Source organism: Homo sapiens, chromosome 16 (genome assembly GCF_000001405.40).
Source record: "Homo sapiens chromosome 16, GRCh38.p14 Primary Assembly".
NCBI classification, from domain to species: domain Eukaryota; kingdom Metazoa; phylum Chordata; class Mammalia; order Primates; family Hominidae; genus Homo; species Homo sapiens.
This window is the reverse complement of record NC_000016.10, coordinates 504305-527420: the sequence shown is the minus strand read 5'-3', so window position 1 is coordinate 527420 and position 23116 is coordinate 504305. Positions and strand designations below refer to the sequence as shown.

General features: G+C 58.5%; 1 protein-coding gene and 1 long non-coding RNA gene across 9 annotated transcripts in view, besides 1 other annotated feature; one reads left to right on the top strand and one right to left on the bottom strand.

The window, feature by feature from the left end:
* Positions 1-13: 13 nt before the first annotated feature.
* Positions 14-574, top strand: LINC00235 (long intergenic non-protein coding RNA 235). The gene has a single exon (NR_024121.1). It is a non-coding gene; the product is annotated as a long intergenic non-protein coding RNA 235 (long non-coding RNA).
* Positions 589-1150: an enhancer, noted in NCBI's record as "H3K4me1 hESC enhancer chr16:576271-576832 (GRCh37/hg19 assembly coordinates)". NCBI's record gives its function as "activates a minimal SCP1, AML or CMV promoter by ChIP-STARR-seq in primed H9 embryonic stem cells {active_cell/tissue: H9 hESC(primed)}" and the evidence as "EXISTENCE:reporter gene assay evidence [ECO:0000049][PMID:30033119]".
* RAB11FIP3 (RAB11 family interacting protein 3) overlaps positions 4410-23116 on the bottom strand; it is a 97363-nt gene continuing 78656 nt past the window's right edge. For all 8 annotated transcript variants that reach the window (NM_001370401.1, NM_014700.4, XM_011522765.3 and 5 more), the window contains 7 exons: positions 21794-21897; positions 16621-16761; positions 8397-8478; positions 7530-7667; positions 7144-7299; positions 6822-6962; positions 4410-6695 (listed from right to left, as the gene is read on the bottom strand). In NM_001370401.1, the coding sequence (NP_001357330.1) occupies positions 6582-6695; positions 6822-6962; positions 7144-7299; positions 7530-7667; positions 8397-8478; positions 16621-16761; positions 21794-21897 (876 nt within the window). In that variant the 3' untranslated portion in view covers positions 4410-6581. The remainder of the gene's footprint in view (positions 6696-6821; positions 6963-7143; positions 7300-7529; positions 7668-8396; positions 8479-16620; positions 16762-21793; positions 21898-23116) is intronic.

The window sequence follows — 23116 nt, the reverse complement described above, 5'->3', positions numbered from 1 at the left end:
GCGCATCAGCGGCGTCACAGACGCGTGGGGCTCGCGGGGAGCCGGGCTGGGGCCGTCCGTGTCCCGCGGGGCTCTGGGCGGCCGCTCGACCGAGGACCCACGACTCCGCCCCGACCCCGCCGTGTTCGCGAGACCCGGAGACCCCTTCGCGCCTTCCAGGACCGCCCCTTTCGCGACGCTGCGTGCTGTGCTTGGTCCTGGCGGCCAAGAGCGGCGGTGGCAAGGGGACCGCCCTGGCCCGAGACGCGGCCTGGCCTCGCAGCGTCGCTTGGGCACAGCCTCTCTAGGCCCCTTCGTCCTCGGTCGCGGAGGGACGCCATTAAACGGCCACGCCGGGCTCAACTGGGACGCGGCCCACGGCGCCCAACCAGGGCCTGGGGGAGGGAAGCCGGGGCGACTCCTGGGTCCTTCCAGGACCCTTGCGCAGGCCTCATTCTCTCCCCGGAGGTCCCCTTCCCGCTGCCCTGAGGCCACTCTCCTGCCAGCAGCTGCTGGGCCGGCTCTCGGGAGAATGCCTTGGCGTCAAGCTTATCAGGCTGCAGGGCGGGACGCGAGTGCTGAGGGCAGCCAGACTCCCGCTCTTAGGTGCACTTGAGGAGCCTGAGAAGGCAGTGGCTCTGCGGGAGAGGGAGACACAGGAGCAGGGCTGGTCCGCCGAGATTCCGGAGAGACGGTTGTGGGCCGATTCTGTGGCGAGATTTACAAGTGGGAGGTTGGGTGACGATTGCTCCTGGGCCAGAAAATCTAAGCCAGTCTCAGCAAGACCTACAAGGCCAGGGCCAGTGCTCCTCAGAGGATATTCATGCTCCAGGAAAGCCAAGGATGGGCCTCCGTCATGCTGAGATGCCGCAGCAGGGACACCTGTGTCCCACGTGGAGCTCGGCTTCTAGCTGCAGTCAGTGCAGAAGCTGGCAGGAGGGGTTTATTTCTGTCCTCGGAAGCTTTTGGTAAGGACACTTCATTCCTGTGTCTTGGACACCTCCCCCTAGGTCTGCTGCCCCCTCTGTGGAGACAGGCAGGGCAGCTGGATGTGCCGTTTGTTCCCAGACTATATCCATGCCAAAGCATCCCAAGGGCAGGAAATGTGTCCCCGGGGGCCAGTGGGGGTCTGGGGGCACAGAGGGCTGCAGAGTGAGAGCTGGCTCTCCTCTCTGCAACTTGGACAAGGCTCTGGGACCCTGTCCTCCCCAGCTTCCTCACCTGCATGGCAGGATACTGGCCAAGTGTGGCTTTCGAACCACAGGAGAGGGTGCAGTCAAGGCCTCACTCAGGGACCGCAGGTTCTCTTCCCTTCCCAGTCCTTCCCTGGCACTGCCTAGGTGGCTCCCTGGCCAGGGGCCAGTGGTCTAGCCAGCAGGCCTTATAACCTCCCCACCAGAGAGGCAGCTGCAGTTGAACCTGTTGATCTGATGCTGAGGGCCCTGCCAGCTCACTGCAGAGTGGCCAGTTCTGGCCAGTTTTGCTAGGCCAGGCCCATTTGGGGTGAGGAGAGGGTGGGAGCACCCCAGCTCTCCCCAGTAGCCTGTCATGGTGAAGGAGGAAGCCCATTCACCCAGAAGAGGGCCTCAGGAGGCGTCTTCAAGGTGACTGAGGTTTCCCCGCACAAGGAGAGTGCTGGAGGGAATGGGTGCGATGAGAGAAATGAGTCACTCGTGCCTCCGTGAGGCCAGCCTGTGATTGTCTTGAAGATTCTGAGTCACAAGACATCAGGCACACAGGCGTGAATTGTAAATGACTGCACAGCAGAAGGTAAGTGACTCTGGATTATCCAGACCATTGACCGAGCCCTGCTCCGTGCCAGTGCTTCCTGGCCTGAGGACACGACTCTCACATCCAGACAGACCTGAGCAGCTAACGCAAGTGCGCAGAAGCTCGCCAAGTGCCCAGAAGAGCCAAGAGGCGAGCCATGAATCCCCCCTGGAGGAGAAGAGGATGGGGAGGGCCAAACAGAAAGAACTGAAACTGGAGGCATCTGTTCAGGCACCCAGAGAAAGCCTCACGCGCACAAAGCAGCAAACAGAACAAACCCCAGTGCCATCATGGAGCCCAGACTTGAGCACACAGGGACCCTGGCGTGGAGCACGAGGGTGCCAAGGCCCGCAGGTGGCTGACTTGTGTGCTCTGGTGCCATGCTCAGATTTGATGGGATGACCCTGCAATTGCCTGCTTTGTGAGCCACACAGGCCTGGGTCAAAAAGACGACGGACCACCAGCCTGGGCAACACACAAAGCGAAACCTGTCTCCACTTAAAAGATAATTAGGGTGTGGTGGTGTGTGCTTGTGGTCCCTGCTACTTGGGAGGCAGAGGCAGGAGCATCACTTGAGCCCGGGAGGTTGAGGCTGCAGTGAGCTGGGATGGCACATGGCGCTCCAGCCTGGGTGACTGAGTCCGTCTCAAAAAAAGAATGGGCGGCCGGACAGGTGAAAATAACAATGGACGGGGCCCTGGGAGAAGTTCCCGCCTTTCTCTGGGCCACCACCTCCAGGTTACTGGACTGCCAGCAGGTAGAGGGGCCAGGGTGCCATCCGGGGGGCCGCTGAGGGGGTCCAGACTTCCTATACCTGCCCTTCAGCAGAGGCAGGCTGGGGCGGTCCTCATGTGAGGGGCTCTGCACCCACATCCGGGGGGCCGCTGAGGGGGTCCAGCCTTCCTATACCTGCCCTTCAGCAGAGGCAGGATGGGGCGGTCCTCATGTGAGGGGCTCTGCACCCACGTCCGGGGCTCTTGTTCCAGGGCAGGGGCAGAGCCGCTCCTCTCTATCCTGCCGGGCAAGACTCCTTGGTGCTCTTCCATCGGGCAGAACTGACCAAGACTCAGAACATTCAATGTCAGGAGCCAGCTGGGGACAGGATCTGCCTTGGGAGACTTGGCAGGCCCAGTGACCATCCCACTGCACAGCTGGGGGTGGGGGCGACACTCCAGAGGGACACGTTCGGGCCTCCTGGGGGGTGCAGGCTTCTGGGCACGTCCACCAGGCATGCACACCGGCCACCCCACCCTGCTCTCGCTCACCCACAAGGTCTCTGGCAGCCCTTCCGGGAATGTTTCCATTTCATCCTGTGTCCTCCTGTCTCAAACTCCTTTGGGCTGGAGACCCCAGTGGGTCATCGAGGTGGGGCCAGCTGGACTGTGGACAGCCCCATGTTTAAAATCTAGCGTGGAAACTGAGGTGCTCCTAGACCACAGTGGGGTATCAGGAGGAGGAAGCTGCTCCCCTTCCCCTCCCTGGCTCTGGCCTGGCAGCGTGGAGTGAGTTCCCCTCCCCACCTCCAGCTTCTCCCTCTAGGCAGAGATGGGTCTTACTGGCACCACACAGACCCCTGGGTAGGTGGGAGAGCAGGTCTTTTTCCTGGGAGGAGGAACTTGGCCTTGGACACACCCACACCGCCCATGTCACTCCTCAGTTCTTTTTTTTTTTGAGACGGAGTCTCGCTCTGTTGCCCAGGCTGGAGTGCGGTGGCGTGATCGCTGCTCACTGCAAGCTCCACCTCCCAGGTTCACGCCATTCTCATGCCTCAGCCTCCCAAGTAGCTGGGACTACAGGTGCCGGCCACCACGCCCGGCTAATTTTTTTGTATTTTTAGTAGAGACGTGGTTTCACCATGTTAGCCAGGATGGTCTCGATTTCCTGACCTTGTGATCCGCCTGCCTGGGCCTCCCAAAGTGCTGGGATTACAGGCGTGAGCCACCGCGCCCGGCCTGTCACTCCTCAGTTCTAACTCATGAAGCAATCAGGGTTCTTGGGCCCTGTGACCTGGAACCATTCTGCTGCACCTGCACTGAGGGTTCAAGGACTCCTCACTGTAGGCCACGCCTGGTCCTCTTCTGGTCACCAGCCCGCAAGCAGCAGCTGGGCTGAGGGGACTGGCAGACCTGGGTCCTCAGCTTCCCTGGGCCTTGGTTTCTCCATCTCCATCTGCATCTGAGAGTGACAGGCAGGCGGGCATCTCGCGCGGGGGGCGGGAGAGCGAGAGCCGCAGATGCACAGTCCGCTTCCTGGATGCTGGACCAGGTGGTCCAGTTTTCAAGGCTTGTGTTTTTGGGGGACTCTTGATCAGATGGGACCACTCCCCGCAGGCCATTCTTTGTGGCTGCAGTGGCACTGAGCTCTCTCAGACTCCCTGGCTGCCCATGACCTCGGGAGCCCACTTCCGTCGGGACCTGCCTCCTCACCTTCCCGTGCCTGTGGTGCTGGTACTGTGTCTGCCCCCTCTTCTGGGGGATGTCCTCCCACCACCCTGCACATCACTGCCCTTTTAAATTCTTTCTGAAATGGGGTCTCGCTGTCGCCCAGGCTGGAGTGCAGCGGTGTGATCACAGCTCACTGTAACCTCCGTCTCCTGGACTCAAGCAATTCTCCCACCTCAGCCTCCCAAGGAACTGGGACTATAGGTGCGCACCACAATGCCTGGTTAATTTTTTATTTTTTAGAGATGGGGCCTTGCTATGTTGCCCAGGCTGGTCTTGAACTCCCGGGTTCAAGCGATCCTCCTGCCTTGGCCTCCCAAAGTGCTGAGATTATGGCGTGAGCCTCTGCGCCCTGCCCCCCACTCTTCTCTTAATCCCGGGGACGTTTTGACGGCTCTCCCGACATGGGACGTACGTCCCCAGAGGCGTGTGACCCAGAGCCCTGATGCCCACACAGCCCTGTGCTGCCCAATTTGCCCCGCCCCACCTGCCCCACCTTGATGCTGTCTCAGCAGCTCGTCAGGATCCAGAACCTGGCTGGAAAGCTGCCAGGCTCCACTGGGCCTGGAGGTGCAATCCTACGGCCTTGGAAGGGTCTTAGTCTGACCAAGCTGCAGAGCCAGGCAGGTCTGCTGGGTTCTGAGCTCAGACAACTGATGGCCTCGGACGCCTTGAGGGAAGCTGGGCCAGGCCCAGAAGACTCCCACCCCACCCTGTGGCCCCCCTGGAGGAAGAAGCCGGCCTCTGCGTGTGCAGTAACAGCTTTAATCTGTGGTGGCCCCTGCCCTCCTGCATCCAGGCAGGAAGAGCCGTTTCTCGGGGAATTAAAGCAGGAGCGTTTCCCACACTGTCTCCTGGGAGTCCATGCTTACAGTGACAGCACTGCTGAGTGGTGCCATGTCACCAGGGCTGGGCCTGGGCACAGAGAGGCAGGGTGCCAGTCTTTATATATTATACATATATATATATATATATATATATATATTTCATGTGTATACACAGTTTTCTCTTGAAAGTATTAAAAAATTGATCAACCTTCAATCTATAAAAAATACCTACTCTACATGATAGAAAAATCTCTCCTCCAAGTTTACACTGATTTACACCCAAGGCTTTCCCCAAATGTACAATAGGAGGCGACCTCTTACATCCTAGCGTGGAAGGCGGCGGATGTGGGGCCACACGTACACGCGCGCGCACACACACGCAGCGGGTGGCCAGTCTTGGTGATGGGGTCTGGGCCCACCCGGGAATGCTGGGGGTTGGGGCAGGCCCGCGGTCCTGCGGGGTGACACCGCTGTGCCTGGGGTGCAGACCCCGAGAAGCACAGGCCCCCTCCTGCTCTGCTGTGAGTCTTCCCTGCCCTCTCCCTCCTGCAACATGCACCCTCGGGGAAGAACCACGATTTCTAAGTGAGACACACCCAGAAGAAAACAGGGTTCCCGATGTTTGGATTCTGGCCTGGGAAGTGCGTGGGGAGGGTGTGGCCTTTAGGAGGCCGGGCCAGGCCGCACCTGTGGAGAAGCAGCACCTGGGAGCCAGAGGGGCCTGTGGCATCCACCCTGCCCAGGGAGAGAGCGCCACACAGCGGTCATCTCAGGTCCTGATGTCGGAGTGGAGGCCCCAGAGGCTCCTGCCCGGCCCCCATAGGTGGTCAGAGCCCCCAGGGGTTACTGCAGCGAGGACTGGGCCGTGGGAACAGCCACATGGCCTGGAGGCCCCAGAGCTGGACTGAGGTGACCACATCTGGCTGGGCAATGGCCCGAGCAGCGTAGGGAGAGCTGGGGAACGCACCAGCCTTGCCCACCCGTCCTTCCCCCACCACCATGTCCGAGGTGAGGGTCTGGGAGCCCGTCAGCCATCAGGAGCGGCTCAACATGGGTGACACGGCACCAGCGTACTTATGTGGGTGGCTTAGGCAGCAGCACCCCTGGAGGGACCTGTTTTCTTCCTTTCTTCCCAACAGGGCTGCACGTGGGAAGAGGGACCACCACAAGGAGGCCACAGCAGGGCTCACCCCACACCGCTGCACAGAGAGGCTCTCCAGCCCATCCTGCTGAACTGAAGTGTACGCGTTCATGGCCAGCTTGACTCAGGGCTGGGAAGCTCTGGGCCCCCGGAAGGTCAGCGCTGATGGACGGCCCTGCCACAACCCTCATCCTCTGTGGACCCCGGGCCCTGGGACTTCCCTTTCTCCCTCTCCTCTCCACCACCCTCTGCCCCTTTGGCAGCCCCGGTCTTTGGCGGCCCCAGCTCAGCTGCACGAGGGTTCCCTGCATGCTCTGGGCACTGTCGGCTGTGGGACCTGCTGGTCTTGGCTCCTCATGGTCTGACGGAACCACTCCAGGGTGTTGGAGTCCCGAATCCAGCTCAGGCTGGACCTTCCTGCCTCTACTTGACCTCCAGGATGGACGGGTTGGTCTCCATGATGGCCACGATGATCCTGTCGATGTAGTCCTGCAGGCGGAAGTTGATCTCCTCCTGCTTCTGAATCGCCTCCATGAGCTGTAGGGCAAGCAGGTGGTCAGAGCTGAGGCGCATGGGCCACAGGCCACAGCGCATAAACCACAGCGCACAGACAGTGCAGACTGTGGACCCCAGGCCACACCGTGCAGACACGGGATGTGTTACCTCATCTCGGGAGACGGAGCTGATCTCTGCAGCCAGGGACTCAGAGAAGGCTGTGGAGAAGAGGCTCTTGGCGCCCTGGATGCTGAGGGTAATGATCTGCCCGTTCAGCTCCTCGTTCTGCTCCTTCAGGTTGCGGTTGTCCTGAAGGCACAGCAACATCACTACTGGGCTGTGGCCCCTGCTGGTGGCTGAGCAGGGACAAGGACTGCCCGGGGAAAAAGGCCTCCAGCTCAGATGCTGACCCTCCACGGCCCCCCCTTCCCAACCAGTCTTGTGGAAGCTTCTGCAGGAGTGTGAGGGAGGGAGGCCCAGGCCTGCCCACCTGCTTCAGCCTGCGGACCTCCTGCTCCAGCTCGCTCTCCCGGGCGCGGCTGTGGTACTCCTGCAGGCCCATGCTGCTGCTGCGGCCCCGCCGCTGCTCGGCCTCCAGCTTGAGGAGCTGCAGGTGCTCCAGCTGCTTTCGGAGGTCCTCGATCAGCTGCAGGGCAACCGTGCAGTGAGCCGGGGGGCCTGGGCTCCCAGGGGCCACCGTCAGCCATCACTTGGCTGTAGAACCTCAGGGTTGATCTGGCCGTCTCTCGGGAGGACGACACACACCAGCGGCTATGCCCAAAGCAGCACAGCCAAGAGCTAGCGTCTCAGGAAACAAAGGCTCCCCGTGGGGCAGGCTGGGCGCAGGACTGGGCGTGGGGCAGGGTGGGTGCTCACCTCCTGGGTGGCCTCCTTGTCCCTCTGGAACTGGTGCCTCTCGTGACTCAGCCTGTCCCCCATTCTCCTCTTGTTCTCCTGCTCTTCACTGAGCCGCAGCGTCAGCGACTCTATCTCATCCAACAGCTTCTGCTTCTCCTGCAGGGGTGGACACCTGCCCTGGATGCGGGTCACGCACCTACCTGTGCATGCAGCTTGCCCCGGCCGTCTGTCCCTCCAATCTCTGAGTCTCCCAACAGCAACGCGGTGGCGCCCGTGCTTGGAGCGCGACAGGGCTGGGTCTGAGCCTTCCTGCCTCTCAGTGGAGGTCAAGGCCACCTGCTTCTGGGTAGAGGCGCACACGCAGGCCACGAGGGCCGTTTCTCACGAGGGGCAGGAAGGACCTTTGTGTGGACAGGACCTGACTCAGTGGCTGTGGGCACCTCCAGCCGGGCTCCTCTGGTTCATGGGAGTCAGGGCCCAAGTGCTCTGAGAATATCCTTCCTGGGAGCTTCCCAGAGCACACCTGGTGAGGTGGGGGCAGGGAGGTCTCGCAGTGACAAGCTGGGGTGTGGGAGCCCCATGTGTAGCCTCTGCCTCCACGTCGGCAGTGGTTGGGGCATAAGTGGCTGGCTGATGCCTTCCCCTTGGAGGACAATTCCCAGATTCAGAGCCCTGGGTCCATCTAGGAGTGAGCCTCTGGGCCCTGCTCCTGTGGGTGGAGCACGGTCCAGTGTCTTCCAGCGGCCTGGGCCCTGAGCTGGCCCCGTTCCCTCACACACAGCACAGTATCCCGCTCAGCACAGAGCTCAGGGCTACCTCAGCTGCCCCACAGGCAGGGCATGGGCTGGCCCCACTGGCCACAGCTCCAGGCTGTTGGCAGCTCACCTCCTCCAGACGCTCAATGTTGGCCTTCAGACAGGGCGTGCAGGACCGGAGTTCACTGTTCTCCTCGTCCAGTTGCTGTAGCCTGGGACACAAGAACAAAGCTGAAACTCACTCCAGGAAGCTCGCCTCTACAGGGCCAGTGTGCCCTGTGTCTCAGGGAAACCCTGCTGGGGCCGCCCTGTGACCAACAGACGCCCCCAAACGACCAGGGCCAATCCTTATGTGCCCACCCATGTGCTCCAGGGCACAGCTTTTCCGTAATCCTTGAAGGTTTTAGTATTATTTTTTTATTTTTTTCTTGAGGCAGAGTCGCACTCTGTCACCAGGCTGGAGTGCAGTGGTGTGATCTCAGCTCACTGCAAGCTCCATCTCCCGGGGTTCAAGCGATTCTCCTGCCTCAGCCTCCTGAGTAGCTGGGATTACAGGCGCCTGCCACCACGCCCGGCTAATTTTTGTAATTTCAGTAGAGAGGGGGTTTCGCCATGTTGGCCAGGCTGGTCTCGAACTCCTGACCTCATGATCCGCTTGCCTCAGCCTCCCAAAGTGCTGTGATTACAGGCGCGAGCCACCCCGCCGGCCATCCACGGTGGTTTTTTTAATATACTTTGGGTTTTGGAATAATTTTAGGTTTACAGAAAAGTTGAAGGCGAGTACAGTGGCTTACGCCTGTAATCCCAACACTTTGGGAGGCCAATGCGGGAGGATTGCTTGGGCCCAGGAGTTTGAGACCAGCCTGGGCAATATAGTGAGACCCCCATCTCTATAAAAAAATACAAAAATTAGCCGAGCATAGTGGCACATGCCTGTAGCTCCAGCTACTTGAGGGGCTGAGGTAGGAGGATCACTTGATCCTGGAAGTACAAGGCTGCAGTGAGCTGTGATCCCGCCACTGCGCTCCAGCCTAGTGACAAAGCAAGATCCTGTATCTATTTATTTACTTATTTTGAGACAGTCTCACTCTGTTGCCCAGGCTGGAGTGCAGTGGCACCATCTCGGCTCACTGCAAGCTTCGCCTTCCGGGTTCACGCCATTCTCCTGCCTCAGCCTCCCGAGTAGCTGGGACTACAGGCGACTGCCACCACACCCGGCTAATTTTTTCTATTTTTAGTAGAGACGGGGTTTCACTGTGTTAGCCAGGATGGTCTCAATTTCCTGACCTGGTGATCCACCTGCCTCGGCCTCCCAAAGTGCTGGGATTACAGGCGTGAGCCACCGCGCCCGGCCAAGATCCTGTATCAAAAAGAAAAAAAGAAGTAGCAGACACAGTGTAGTCCCCGTGGGCCCTGCACTGGCCTCCCTTGGTGTGGTCACTGTTCTTCACTGTGGTGTTATGTGTCACAGTCACAGAGCCACATTGGGACACTCTGCAGACCACACTAACTGAAGACTGTGGCTTTCCCATGCGTGCCCTTTCTGTTCTGGGACCCCATCCAGCAACCACACTGCATTTGTTTGGTTTTTTGAGAGAGGGTCTCGCTCTGTTACCCAGAGTGCACTGGTGGAATCTCAGCTCACTGCAGCCCCGACCTCCCGGGCTCAGGAGATCCTCCTGCCTCAGCCTCCCAAGTAGCTGGGAGTACACGTGTGCCCCACCACACGTGGCTAATTTTTAAATTTTTTGCAGAGACAAGGTCTTGCTGTGTTGCCTGAGCTGGTCTCCAACTCTGAGCTTAAAGGTTCCAACAGCCTCAGCCTCCCAAAGAGCTGGGATTACAGGTGTGAGCCACCGTGCCCAGCCCACACTGCATTTTGTCTCCTCCGTCCCCTGGTCTGTGAGTCTCCCAGACTTTCCTGTGTTTTCCGACCTTGACGGTGTCGAGCAGGCCTGTCATGGTGTCTGTAGAGCGTCCCCCACGTTGGGTCCGTCTGGTGTTTTCTCGCAATTAGACTGGGTGATGGGTTTTGGGAAGATGCCCACAGAGGTGCGGGGCCCTTCCCGTCACACCGTATCAGGGTCCTGACGTCCGCACGGCTTTCTGATCACCTGGCCAAGGTCTGCCTGCCAGGTGTGCACTCTGACAGGTCCCTGCTTTCCCGCCCGCTCTGTCCTCTGGAAGCCGCTCACTGGGTCCAGCCCCCGCCTCCTGGAGGGAGTGTCTGCGGACATTATGTGGAATTCCTCTGTGAGGAAGATTTGTGTCTTCTCTATTTATTTATTTTATTTTATTTTTGAGATGGAGTTTTGCTCTTGTCGCCCAAGCTGGAGTGCAACCTCTGCCTCCCAGGTTCAAGTGATTCTCCTGCCTCAGCCTCCCGAATAGCTGGGATTACGGGCGGCCGCCACCGCGCCTGGCTAATTTTTGTATTTTCAGTAGAGACAGGGTTTCACCATGTTGGCCAGGCTGGTCTGGAACTCCTGACCTCAGATGATCCACCTGCCTCGGCCTCCCAAAGTGCTGGGGTTACAGGCGTGAGCCACCGCGCCCGGCCCTCTTTTCTGTTCGTTGATGATAATTTATCTGTGTCATATGGACTCACGCACTTTATGCTTTGGATTGTAATCCAAGGCTGTCACTATGAGTTTGTTAAACTGTTCCAGCTTTGGCGTCTGGCAACTCCTTCAGCTGGCCCATGTCCCTCTGAGATAACCTCAGTGTCTGTGCTCATGGGGGGTTTTTAGTGTAAGCACCTCATTTTCAGATACTACACATTGCTGCAGGCTTAGCCTGTCCCAGCCTCAGAACTGGCCATTTCTCCAAGGAACCCTGGATCTTCTCCATAATCCAGTTGTCCTCACCATCCCGTTACCCTGCCGTCCCTTCTAATTCAATCCAACCTGCACCAACACCCAGAATTTGGTGTAAGTGGAAACCCAGGGGCAGCACAGGGCTGGGCGGGAAGGGCTTAAGGTGTCCTCTACCCAGGAGGGGACTTGCTCTTGCTTTGCAAACTGATGATTGAGACCAGGGGCAAAGCAGATGCAACCCCTTCCAAAGAGCACCGGCCGGCCTCTGCACTGCCGGGGAGGCCACGGGGTGCCCGGGACAGGCACGCTCCCAGGACTTGTCTGGGGCTGGTCAGACCCCTGGCCTCAGGTGTTCGTCAGGAGGACCCGGGCGCTCGGTGGTGCCACTCTGGTGTGTGCTGGCGCCCTGCAGTCCCGATTCCTCCTCTAGGGTGGGGATGGGTGTGATCCAGCTGTATGTGGGTGGGGACCCTCCTGTGTGAGCCTCGCCTTTATCCAACTTCCACGGTTCCTGGTGCTACCCACTTCTGAGCCTTCATGTACCAAGATGCAAACCCCGGTCCGTGTCGGCCGTGTGGCTGTTCCGAGATGCAAACCCCAACACGTGTCGGCCGTGTGGCTGCTCCGAGATGCAAACACCGGTGCGTGTCGCCCGTGTGGCTGCTCCGAGATGCAAACACCGGTGTGTGTCGCCCGTGTGGCTGCTCCGAGATGCGAACCCCGGTCCGTGTCAGCCGTGTGGCTGCTCCGAGATGCAAACACCGGTCCGTGTCGCCCGTGTGGCTGCTCCAAGATGCAAACACCGGTGCGTGTCGCCCGTGTGGCTGCTCCGAGATGCGAACCCCGGTCCGTGTCAGCCATGTGGCTGCTCCGAGATGCAAACACCGGTGTAGCTGCTGGCGCAGGGTGTTGTTTGCGTTAGGAGTGTGTGCAGCTGTGCTTTCTGGGCTGCACCTTTGCCATCTGCCTTTCCTGTTGTTTTGCTGAGTGGAGCATACTAAGTTCCACTCTCCGCCTCTAACCCTGGAGTCCAGACGGCTCTACCCACAGCTATTTTCTCCTTTCAAAGTAACACTTGCATGTTTTGTTCATAATTATGAAAGCAAATTATGTTTTAATTCTATTGAATTTCAAAACTACAGATAAGCAAAGAGAAGAAAATAAAGAGCCGCACAGCTTCACACACAGCAGCACTGCCTTCCCGAGGCCTGACCCCTCTTTCTTTCCTCCTTGCCCCAGCCTCTCGCTGTCCATCAGACACACTCGGCTCTGCCCAGTGCTGGGGTCAGTCTTTCTGACTTCTCTCCTTTCATTATCAGGCTCAGGGGAGTCTACTCACATTTTCTGGAAGGACGAGCTATGCTACGTGGCACAAGCGAAGGCTTCCCTGGGCTTCCTTGGCTCACGTGCTGCTAGAAAGCACCACACACCAGGGCCACGTTCACCCAGTTCACTCTGTGCCTGATGATGGGCCATGTACCCCAACGCCGGGGGTTCGGCAGGTGCCACAAGCTGCAAATCAGGCCCCGGTCTCTGTGGACATGCCACTGTGGCCCCATCAGCCTTCACTCCAGCTCTCTGCAGCCTGCCAGGGGCTCCCATACTTTCTGGAAGCCCCTGGGGGCCCCACTCCCAGAGGTACCTGGCCTTTCCTAGAACCTCTCCCGGGCCCTGTGTCCTGAGATTCAGATCTCTGCCTGTGACCTTCGTACAGCCCCATTCTGCTGATGACACATATTCTCCTTTCCCGGTCCCTAAACAAGGATGTCCAAAGCTCCAGCCTCTCCACTCCTCCATCTTCTCTATGCCCTTTCAGCTTTAACTCTCATCTCTACTGAGGCTCCACTCCTGAAATCCAGCTGTTTTCTAGGCACTGCAACTGCATAGCCACCCGCCCCTGCTGTTCCCAGGAGGTTCCGACGCAGGTGCTGGGAGTCCTGCCTCCAGATCCTCTGCTCCTGAGGACCCCGGACTGAGACAGTGTCTTTGCACTGACCAGGGTCTTCCTGTACACCAGATGGGCAGAGGCCAGGCTGGGGAAGTCCCCAAGATGCCAGAGGCCTCGTGCTGGGCTGACCGCAGGTTGCTGACCTGGGGCTGCAGGGGCCTCTGACGGCCTGAGCAGCCCTGAGAACCACAAGGTTCCTGGTGGCCACTCCAGGAAGCTGCAGGAGGCCCAGAACACGGTGGCACTGACCCCAAGCGCTTAGGGTGGGCAGGCGGCTTGCTCACAAGAGGCAGTGACACTGGGCCCTGCTTGCTCCCTGAGGGCCTCGTGAGACCCCTATCTTGTGCCCCTCCACACCAGAGCACACAGAGGCGGCAGGATGTCCACACGGCTGTGCCCCAACCTCAGCCCCAGCGGAAAGGTCCCATGGGAGGTGCTCCCTGGCGCTCACAGACGAGAAACGTACTTTAATTTTGAGCCCACTCAACTGCACTGTGCCAAGGCCCGGGGAAAACACTGTCCTGGCTGCCCTGACCTTGCTCCCCAGAAGACGGCGCCCCACTGCAATGGCAGGCACGGAGGCCTCCCTGTGTGGGGCGTCCCGCACAGCTCTCTCAGTGCAGGCCCCTTCCTGCCACCAGTTTTGAAAATGCCTAGGAGCTCTTCTTAGATAAGGCAAGTATCTTAGCTTTAAGAGCTGGAAGGAACACAAGCAAAAGAACCTGAAATCCTCTTATGAATATTTAAAACTACTGTATTTCAAAATCTAAAAGTAGTACATGCTCAGTTTAAAAAAGCCACGTGAGGTGGCTCATGCCCATAATCCCAGCACTTTAAGAGGCTGAGGTGCTTCTGCTGAGAGTATGGAGAGGAAAAACAACAACAACAAAAAATCCCAACAACAACAACAAAAAGAGGCCAAGGTGGGAGAATCACTTAAAGCTAAGAGCTCAAGACCAGCCTGGGCAACACAGCAAGACCTCGTCTCTACCAAAAAAGAAAAGTTAGCCAGGTATGATAGAGCACACTTGGAGCCCCAGCAACTCAGGGGCTGAGGCAGGAGGATTGCTTGAGCCCGGGAGTTCAAGGCTGCAGTGAGCCATGACAGGGCCACTGCACTCCAGCCAGGGGCACAGAGCAAGACCCCATCTCAAAACAGACAAACAAACAAACAAACAACTGTATAAAACAACTTCCTCCACCCTCACTACCCAGACACACAAGAAGGATAGAGAACTCTAGAGTCCTCTGATTATAGATATTTTAAGTTACCTGATGCTTTTAACTTTTACAGAAAATCAATAACCGTCCCTTGCAAATGTATTTCTAAACACACACCAGGAATCCACAGCATGAGCTCCCAGATGGAGAACCAAGGGAGGCACCATGCTGCTTTAATGCTTGTGCCTCGGCGGGCACAGTGGCTCACGCTGGTAATCCCAGCGCTTTGGGAGGCCGAGGTGGGAGGAATGCTTGAGCCCAGGAGTTCAAGACCAGCCTGGGCCACACAGCAAGAACCCCTGTCTCTATTTAAAATAATGATTTTTTGGCTGGGTGCAGTGGCTCACACCTCTAATCCCAGCACTTTGGGAGGCTGAGGCGGGTGGATTACCTGAGGTCAGGAGTTCAAGACTATCCTGGCCAACATGGTGAAACCCGTCTCTGCTAAAAATACAAAAAATAGCTGGGTGCAGTGGTGTGAGCCTCTAGCCCCAGCTACCAGGGAGGCTGAGGCAACAGAATTGCTTGAACGCAGGAGACAGAGGTTGTGGTGAGCCAAGATCGCCCCACTGCACTCTAGCCTGGGCGACAGGGTGACACTTGGTCTCAAAAAAAAAAAAAAAAAAAAAAGGCCGGGCGCGATGGCTCATGCCTGTAACCCCAGCACTTTGGGAGGCCGAGGCAGGTGGATCACGAGGTCAGGAGATCAAGACCATCCTGGCTAACACGGTGAAACCCCGTCTCTACTAAAATTACAAAAAATTAGCCGGGCGTGGTGGCAGGCACCTGTAGTCCCAGCTACTCGGGAGGCTGAGGCGGGAGAATGGCGTGAACCCGGGAGGCAGAGCTTGCAGTGAGCCGAGATCGCGCCACTGCACTCCAGCCTGGGCGACAGAGCAAGACTCCATCTCAAACCCACCCACCCCCACCCAAAAAAAAAAGATTGGTATTTTAAAAAGACTGGATACGTTGGTTAGACATGGATTTACAGAAACCAGCACCCGCACAGCGTCAGGGTCAGTCTTTGAACCGATCCCTTGTGGTCTTTGGGAGAGTTTCAAAGTCTTCTCCACATAGCTTTGCCCCTTTTTCTAAACTTTCAGGTTATTCCTAGCCACTGCCGGTTCTGGGGTGGGCGGGCTGTCGGAACCTCTCCTGCCTGGCCTGCAGTTTCTGGGGTGGGTGGGCTGTCAGGAACCTCTCCTACCTGGCCTGCAGGTTCTGGGGTGGGCGGGCCGTCGGGGAACTTCTCCTACCTGGCCTGCAGGTTCTGGGGTGGGCGGGCCATCAGGGAACTACTCCTACCTGGCCTGCAGGTTCTGGGGTTGGCGGGCCGTCAGGAACCTCTCCTACCTGGCCTGCAGTTTCTGGGGTGGGCGGGCCGTCAGGAACCTCTCCTGCCTGGCCTGCAGTTTCTGGGGTGGGCGGTCTGTCAAGAACCTCTCCTACCTGGCCTGCAGTTTCTGGGGTGGGCGGGCTGTCGGGAACCTCTCCTGCCTGGCCTGCAGTTTCTGGGGTGGGCGGGCCGTCGGGAACCTCTCCTACCTGGCCTGCAGGTTCTGGGGTTGGCGGGCCGTCGGGGAACTTCTCCTACCTGGCCTGCAGGTTCTGGGGTTGGCGGGCCGTCGGGGAACTTCTCCTACCTGGCCTGCAGGTTCTGGGGTTGGCGGGCCGTCGGGGAACTTCTCCTACCTAGCCGGCAGGTTCTGGGGTTGGCGGACTGTCGGGGAACTTCTCCTACCTGGCCTGCAGGTTCTGGGGTTGGCGGGCTGTCGGGAACCTCTCCTACCTGGCCTGCAGTTTCTGGGGTGGGCGGGCCGTCAGGAACCTCTCCTGCCTGGCCTGCAGTTTCTGGGGTGGGCGGGCTGTCAAGAACCTCTCCTACCTGGCCTGCAGTTTCTGGGGTGGGCAGGCTGTCGGGAACCTCTCCTGCCTGGCCTGCAGTTTCTGGGGTGGGCGGGCCGTCGGGAACCTCTCCTACCTGGCCTGCAGGTTCTGGGGTTGGCGGGCCGTCGGGGAACTTCTCCTACCTGGCCTGCAGGTTCTGGGGTTGGCGGGCCGTCGGGGAACTTCTCCTACCTGGCCTGCAGGTTCTGGGGTTGGCGGGCCGTCGGGGAACTTCTCCTACCTGGCCGGCAGGTTCTGGGGTTGGCGGACTTTCGGGGAACTTCTCCTACCTGGCCTGCAGGTTCTGGGGTTGGCGGACTTTCGGGGAACTTCTCCTACCTGGCCTGCAGGTTCTGGGGTTGGCGGGCTGTCGGGAACCTCGCCTACCTGGCCTGCAGTTTCTGGGGCTGGCGGGCTGTTGGGGACCGTCTCCTACCTGGCCTGCAGGTTCTGGGGTGGATGGGCTGTTGGGAACCGCCTACCTGGTCTGCAGGTTCTCGATCTCAATGCTCTTCTCCCTCTCCATCTTGCACAGGAGCTCCTTCTGACGCCGGGTCTCTTCCAGGACCATCTCGCAGGCTCTCAGCTCCTGCTCCTTCAGCTGCTCCTCCAGGGCGTTTGCTCTTGAAAGGCAAAGGGAGGAGCTGAGCTGTCTCCAGGCAGGGTGTGCAGTGGCTCCACCCATGCCCAGAAGCTGCCTCAGGACCTCCAGAGAACCTGCCTCCACTCGGGAGTAGGGCACCGAGAAGGGCATCCCCGAGCTCTGGTCAAGGCAGTTCTGAAGCAGCGAATACACCCCCAGATGGCCTCGCCTCCCACACTAAAGGCACCTGGGGTGGCCGGAGCAGTGTCCACTGCACCTAGGCCCAGCTGATACCCACAGGCACTGCCCGCTTGTGGCCTGTGGACCGCAGCACTCAGAGGGCCTGAGCCCGCCAGGTAACTTCTCCTGGTGCACTCTGTGTTCATGCAGCTGCTCCACCTGCAGCCACTACACACAACGCGTGCGCTCAGAGCCCAGAGGCACGGAGCCTCGGGACGGGGCGTGGAGGTGCCAGGGCCACTACACACAACGCGTGCGCTCAGAGCCCAGAGGCACGGGGACTCGGGACGGGGCGTGGAGGTGCCAGGGCCACTACACACAACGAGTGCGCTCAGAGCCCAGAGGCACGGGGACTCGGGACGGGGCGTGGAGGTGCCAGGGCCACTACACACAACGCGTGCGCTCAGAGCCCAGAGGCACGGGGCCTCGGGACGGGGCGTGGAGGTGCCAGGGCCCAAGGGCCACAGCATTTCCAGGAAGTGAGTGTCTGATGAGCACGTGGTCCGCGGCAGCTGAACACCAGAGAACTGAGTGTGCTGGCGGAGTCTGCCTTCAGCTGCAGTACAGTCAGTTCATGGCACATCACCCAAAGGTGCTCACGAGGCTTCCTGAGATGCCAGGTCCACATGGGAGCCAGGACGAGTCTGGCTCTGGCAGCTGGGCACATCCGGGCCCCAGAGGCTGTGAGGGGCCACAAGTGGGGGGGGGGCCCACTCTGCTCCCAGTCCCCTCCAGGCTGGGGAAGTGGGTATAGAGACCAGTCCCATCCAGGTCACCTCAGAGCAGAGGCAGGGCAGGTGTCAGCTAGACCACAGGGGAAAGGGAATATTCCCACAGGGCAGGGAGACCCTGGCCTTCCTGAGATCTTCACAACCATCCGCAGGAGACAGGACTGAACCATCCCAAAGAGAAGGGCACAGGCCCTGCCCACTGACACAGCACAGCCCACGCCCTCTGGCCCTGCCTCGCACAGAGCCTCTCATCCTTGTGGTGCCTCACACGCAGGAGTGAACAGATGGCCAAAGATCACCAGACACAACAGGAAAGCTTTCAACAGGAAGTGGCCAAAGCAAACACCAAGTGAGGACCCAGGGAGACACATGATGCAGCAGACAGCAGGGAAAGGTCCCCGAGCCAGCGGCCTCCGCGAGCAGAGAGCCAAAGCTGCAGCGTCAGGGCAGCCTGCTGCAGAAGAGACAAACAACAAGGAACAGCTCCCAGGAACTGAAAGCGTGGGAAGGACAATTTAAAAGTCCGATTGAGATGCCGGGCTCACGCCTGTAATCCCAGCACTCTGGGAGGCAGAGGCGGGCAGATCACCTGAGATCAGGAGTTCGAGACCAGCCTGACCAATATGGTGAAACCCTGAATCTACTAAAAATACAAAAATTAGCCGGATGTGGTGGCAGGTGCCTGTAGTCCCAGCTACTCGGGAGGCTGAAGCACGAGAATCATTTGAACCCAGGAGGCAGAGGTTGCACTGAGCAGAGATCACACCACTGCACTACAGCCTGGGCAACAGAGTGAGACTCTGTCTCAAAAAAAAAAAAAAGATCTGATCAAGAGTTGAAGGAGAAAACTGAGAATATTACATAGAAAAAAAGAACAGAAAGATAAAATTAGAGACGAGGAAAGTTTAAAAAAGGAGAGGAAACATCCAGAAGGCCCACTGTGTGACTAGCAGATGTTCAGACAGATGAGAGGGAGAGGCCGCATGGTGAAATAACTTCAGAAGTCTTCCCACAGCGAAAGGACGCGTTTTCCAGATTTAAAGGCTGAAAACCTAGGCCAGGCGCGGTGGCTCATGCCTGTAATCCCAGCACTTTGGGAGGCCGAGGCAGATGGATCACTTGAGGTCAGGAGTTCAACACCGGCCTGGCCAACATGGTGAAACCCCGTCTCTACTAAAAATACAAAAATCAGCCGGGCACAGTGGCGCATGCCTGTAATCCCAGCTACTTGGGAGGCTGAGGCAGGAGAATCACTTGAACCCGGGAGGCGGAGGTTGCCGTGAGCGGAGATTGTGCCATTGCACTCCAGCCTGGGTGACACAGCAAGGCTCTGTCTCAAAAAACAAAACAAAACAAAACAAAACGAAATAAAGGCTGAAAACCAGGTGCACAGCACGGCAAATAATACAAGATCCTCCTCCAAGTATGTAGGGTGGGAAACAGAAGTTACAGAGAACATCAAGGCCCTGCGGCACCAGAGGTTCCTCAGTCACAGCACCGGGTCAGAGGTCTTCACATTCTCAGGGAATTCGATCTCTGACCTAGAATTTTATGCCCAGCTACACTATGGACTGGAGCAGGGTGGGAGGAAAAAGCACTTCCACACAAGCAGTTCTCAGAGCATCTGGCTCCTGTGCTCCCTTTTCCAGGCAACTATCAGTGACATACTCAGAAAATGAGTTGGCAAAACAGAAGAAAACGTGGGACCCAGAAAATAAGGAATCAAACACAGGAGAAAGCACTCGGAATTCCTAGGATGGCAGCTGTACGGCACAGCTAGAGAGCAAATGGCTCAGAACGGGCAGATGATACTGAAAACGGGAAACGTACTCTTAGGATGGCAGCTGTATGGTAGGGCTAGAGAGCAAATGGCTCAGAACGGGCAGATGATACTGAAAACGGGAAACGTACTCTTAGGATGGCAGCTGTATGGTAGGGCTAGAGAGCAAATGGCTCAGAACGGGCAGATGATACTGAAAACGGGAAACGTGTTGTTTAGGACGTTGGAGGTGAGCACCACAGGGAACAGCCACAGGAACTGAATGTGGCCGGGGCTGCACTGCAGACGGTCAGTGGGTGGTGCCAGGCGGCAGTGTGGACTTCACACCACACACACGGAAAACAGATGAACATACTCCAGACTCAAATGAAACCTCCACAGTCAACTCGACAAAGGCATCTAGGCTGGACATGGTGGCTCACGCCTCTGATTTCAGCACTTTGGGGGGCCAAGGTGGGAGGATCGCTTGAGGCCAGGCGTTTGAGACCAGCATGGGCAACATGGCAAGACCTCATCTCTATAAAAAAATTAAAAACTAGGCCGGGCACGGTGGCTCACGCCTGTAATCCCAGCATTTTGGGAGGCTGAGGCAGGCAGATCACAAGGTCAGGAGTTCAAGACCAGCCTGGTCAATATGGTGAAACCCCGTCTCTACTAAAAATACAAAAATTAGCCCAGCGTGGTGGTGCATGCCTGCAAGTCCCAGCTACTCAGGAGGCTGAGGCAGAAGAATCGCTTGAACCTGGGATGCGGAGGTTGCGGTGAGCCAAGATTGCGCCACTGCACTCCAGCCTGGAGACAGAGAGAGACCCCGTCTCAAAAAAAAAAAAAAAAAAGCTGGGTGTGGTGGTGCACACCTGTAGTCCCAGCTACATCGAAGGCTGAGGGAGGCGGGTCGCTTGAGCCTGGGAGGTGGAGGCTGTAGTCAGCACTCAGCCTGAGCAACAGAGCGAGGCCCTGTCTCTCAAAAAACAAAACAAAACAAGTGCATCTGGCAGCCCCCCGGATTCTCCTTGACAAGGAGGAGACAGTGGTCTTTGGTGGCACTGCTTATGTGTAGCGCACTACGGGAGTCCAGCCCCTTCACCAGCATGCCTGGCCCCTCTCCACTCTGCAGCAGGGGCTGGTAGCAGGCCCTCTTCTGCTGAGAATCCTGGAGAACGGGCAGCCGCCAAGCCCAGGGTCTTCACTCCACAAGAGCACATGCTTTGCTTTGTTAGAATTAAAATGATGTGCAAGTTATGCCCACAATCCCATGAGGCATTCCAATTCTCAGCGCTCACAGGGCAGATGGTCACAAATGTTAGTACCGTGAGGGTGAGGGCTTGGGGGCTTTGGGGATGCTGACCACAAATGCCCTGCTGCCAACACACGTGTGTGCAGGCTGCTCAGAGCCCTGAATCTACCTGCTCAGTGGTGATGAAGACACTGAAGCTTCAAGGGACAGGGCCCTTGGCCGAGCTGAGAATATGTGGAAGAGCCGGGATGTGCCCGCGCAGCTGGGCAGGGACAGAAGCTCACAGGAAGAACCTCTTCTGCAGATCCCACAGGTGCCTCATAGGCCTCCTGGCTGCCTCCTCTGCCCACAAGAGGCTGCCGGTGCCCAGCTACAGGTGTCATAGCCTGGGTAGCTGACTCCTGGGACAAGCTCATCTTACTTTGCACCGGAAACAGTCCTGCAAATCGGCTATGAGACAACATGGCGTGCCTCGTGTGAAAAACACCGAGAATTACACGGTATTCTAAGAAAAGTCTGCAAACCAGAGTGAGGCAAGCAGCTCCCACTCTTTCTCTGCAAACACGGCGTCACACTTCGCTTCCTCCCCAGCACTCCTGCCCACAGCGATGAGACTGCGCGTCCTGTCGCGTACTCAGCAGTCACTGCTCATTTCGCTTTCTGCTGCTGAGCGACTTCTCTAACCTGCATTCTTCCAGGACGGGCAAACCCCGTATGGACCAGAGTGGTGGGAGAGCTGCACCTCCAGGCCTGCTGGTGAGGCTGAGCACTGCGTGGGTTCGCAGTCAGTTCCTCCTCTGTGTGGGTCAGGTCTCAGCGCTCCCGAGAGGGAGGCAGTGCCCTCCTCTGGCCCTCTGTGTGTCTAGGGTTCCATGAGAGCACCAGTCAGAGCCTCGGGTCGCCTGCCTGCAGCCCACTGGGTAGGCTCAGATGACCACCTGGCACCACCCCCTCAGCCGGCTTCCAACGGGGATGGACGGGTGGCCAAGCCCCTGCTGTGTGAGGTAAAGAGAAGTAAATGGGGGCTGACAGGCGGGCACAGGAGGCGCCACGCAGAGGCCCGGGTCTCCTGGCCCAGGCTCACCTGTGCACCAGCTGCAGGTTCTCCTGCCTCAGGCGGCTGTGTTGCTCACCGGTGGCTGCCGTGTCCTTTTCCAGCTCCAGCACACGCCTTTCCAGGAAGACAACCTTGGCAATGAGACCAGGCTTCAGGGTCAGGCAGCCAGAAGCAGAAGGGCCTGCACCCCCAAGGGAACAACCTGGGAGGCCGCCTGGGGATTTTCTCAGCACAGAATCAGATCCACCTAGCTAGGCTGGTGTTGGATCCAACTTGTCCCATAAACCCACAAAGGTGCAGCTCCTAATGGGGCCGGGGTCTTGGGGAGCACTGTCATTCGACCCACAAATGCACACAGTGCCGCAGCTCTGAGGGCTCGGGGCCCAGGGGTGCCTTTGGACTGGCTGGCTGGTGGGCAGCAAGACTCAGCCCCCCAACACACAGTTGGGTCTCTGCTCAGCCAGATGCAGCTCACAGAGGCAGCCCAGGTGCCCATGGATGCAAGGGACAGACAGATCCATGTCTCGGTCCCTCCCTCAGAGAGTTCACACCAAGATGAGAATCAGACACCTGCGGAGGTAGGAGAAGGAGTGAAGGGAGCAGAGGAGGACTTGGCCTGGGTCAGCAGACTTGAGATGCTAGAGAAGTTGTAGGGAGGAGGTGGTGGGGATGCAAGAGGAGGTGAAGTACAGGAGGAGGTGAGGAGGTACAGGAGGAGGTGAGAGAGTACAGGAGGAGATGGGGGTATAGGAGGAGGTGGGGGAGCAGGAGGAGGTGAGGGGGTACAGGAGGTGAGGGGTGCAGGAGGAGGTAAGGGGGTACAGGAGATGAGGGGGTACAGGAGGTGAGGGGGGTACAGGAGGAGATGGGGGTGCAGGAGGAGGTGAGGAGGGTGCAGGAAGAGGTGAGGGGGTATAGGAGGAGGTGAGGGGGTATAGGAGGAGGTGAGGCGGTACAGGAGGAGGTGAGGGGGTACAGGAGGTAAGGGGGGTGCAGGAGGAGGTGAGGGGGTACAGGAGGAAGTGAAGGGTACAGGAAGAGGTGAGGGGGGTACAGGAGGAGGTGAGGGGGTACAGGAGGTGAGGGGTGCACAAGGAGGTGAGGGGGTACAGGAGGAGATGGGAGTGCAGGAGGAGGTGAGGGGGTACAGGAAGAGGTGAGGGGGGTACAGGAGGAGGTGAGGGGGTACAGGAGGTGAGGGGTGCACAAGGAGGTGAGGGGGTACAGGAGGAGATGGGAGTGCAGGAAGAGGTGAGGGGGGTACAGGAGGAGGTGAGGGGGTACAGGAGGTGAGGGGTGCACAAGGAGGTAAGGGGGTACAGGAGGAGATGGGAGTGCAGGAGGAGGTGA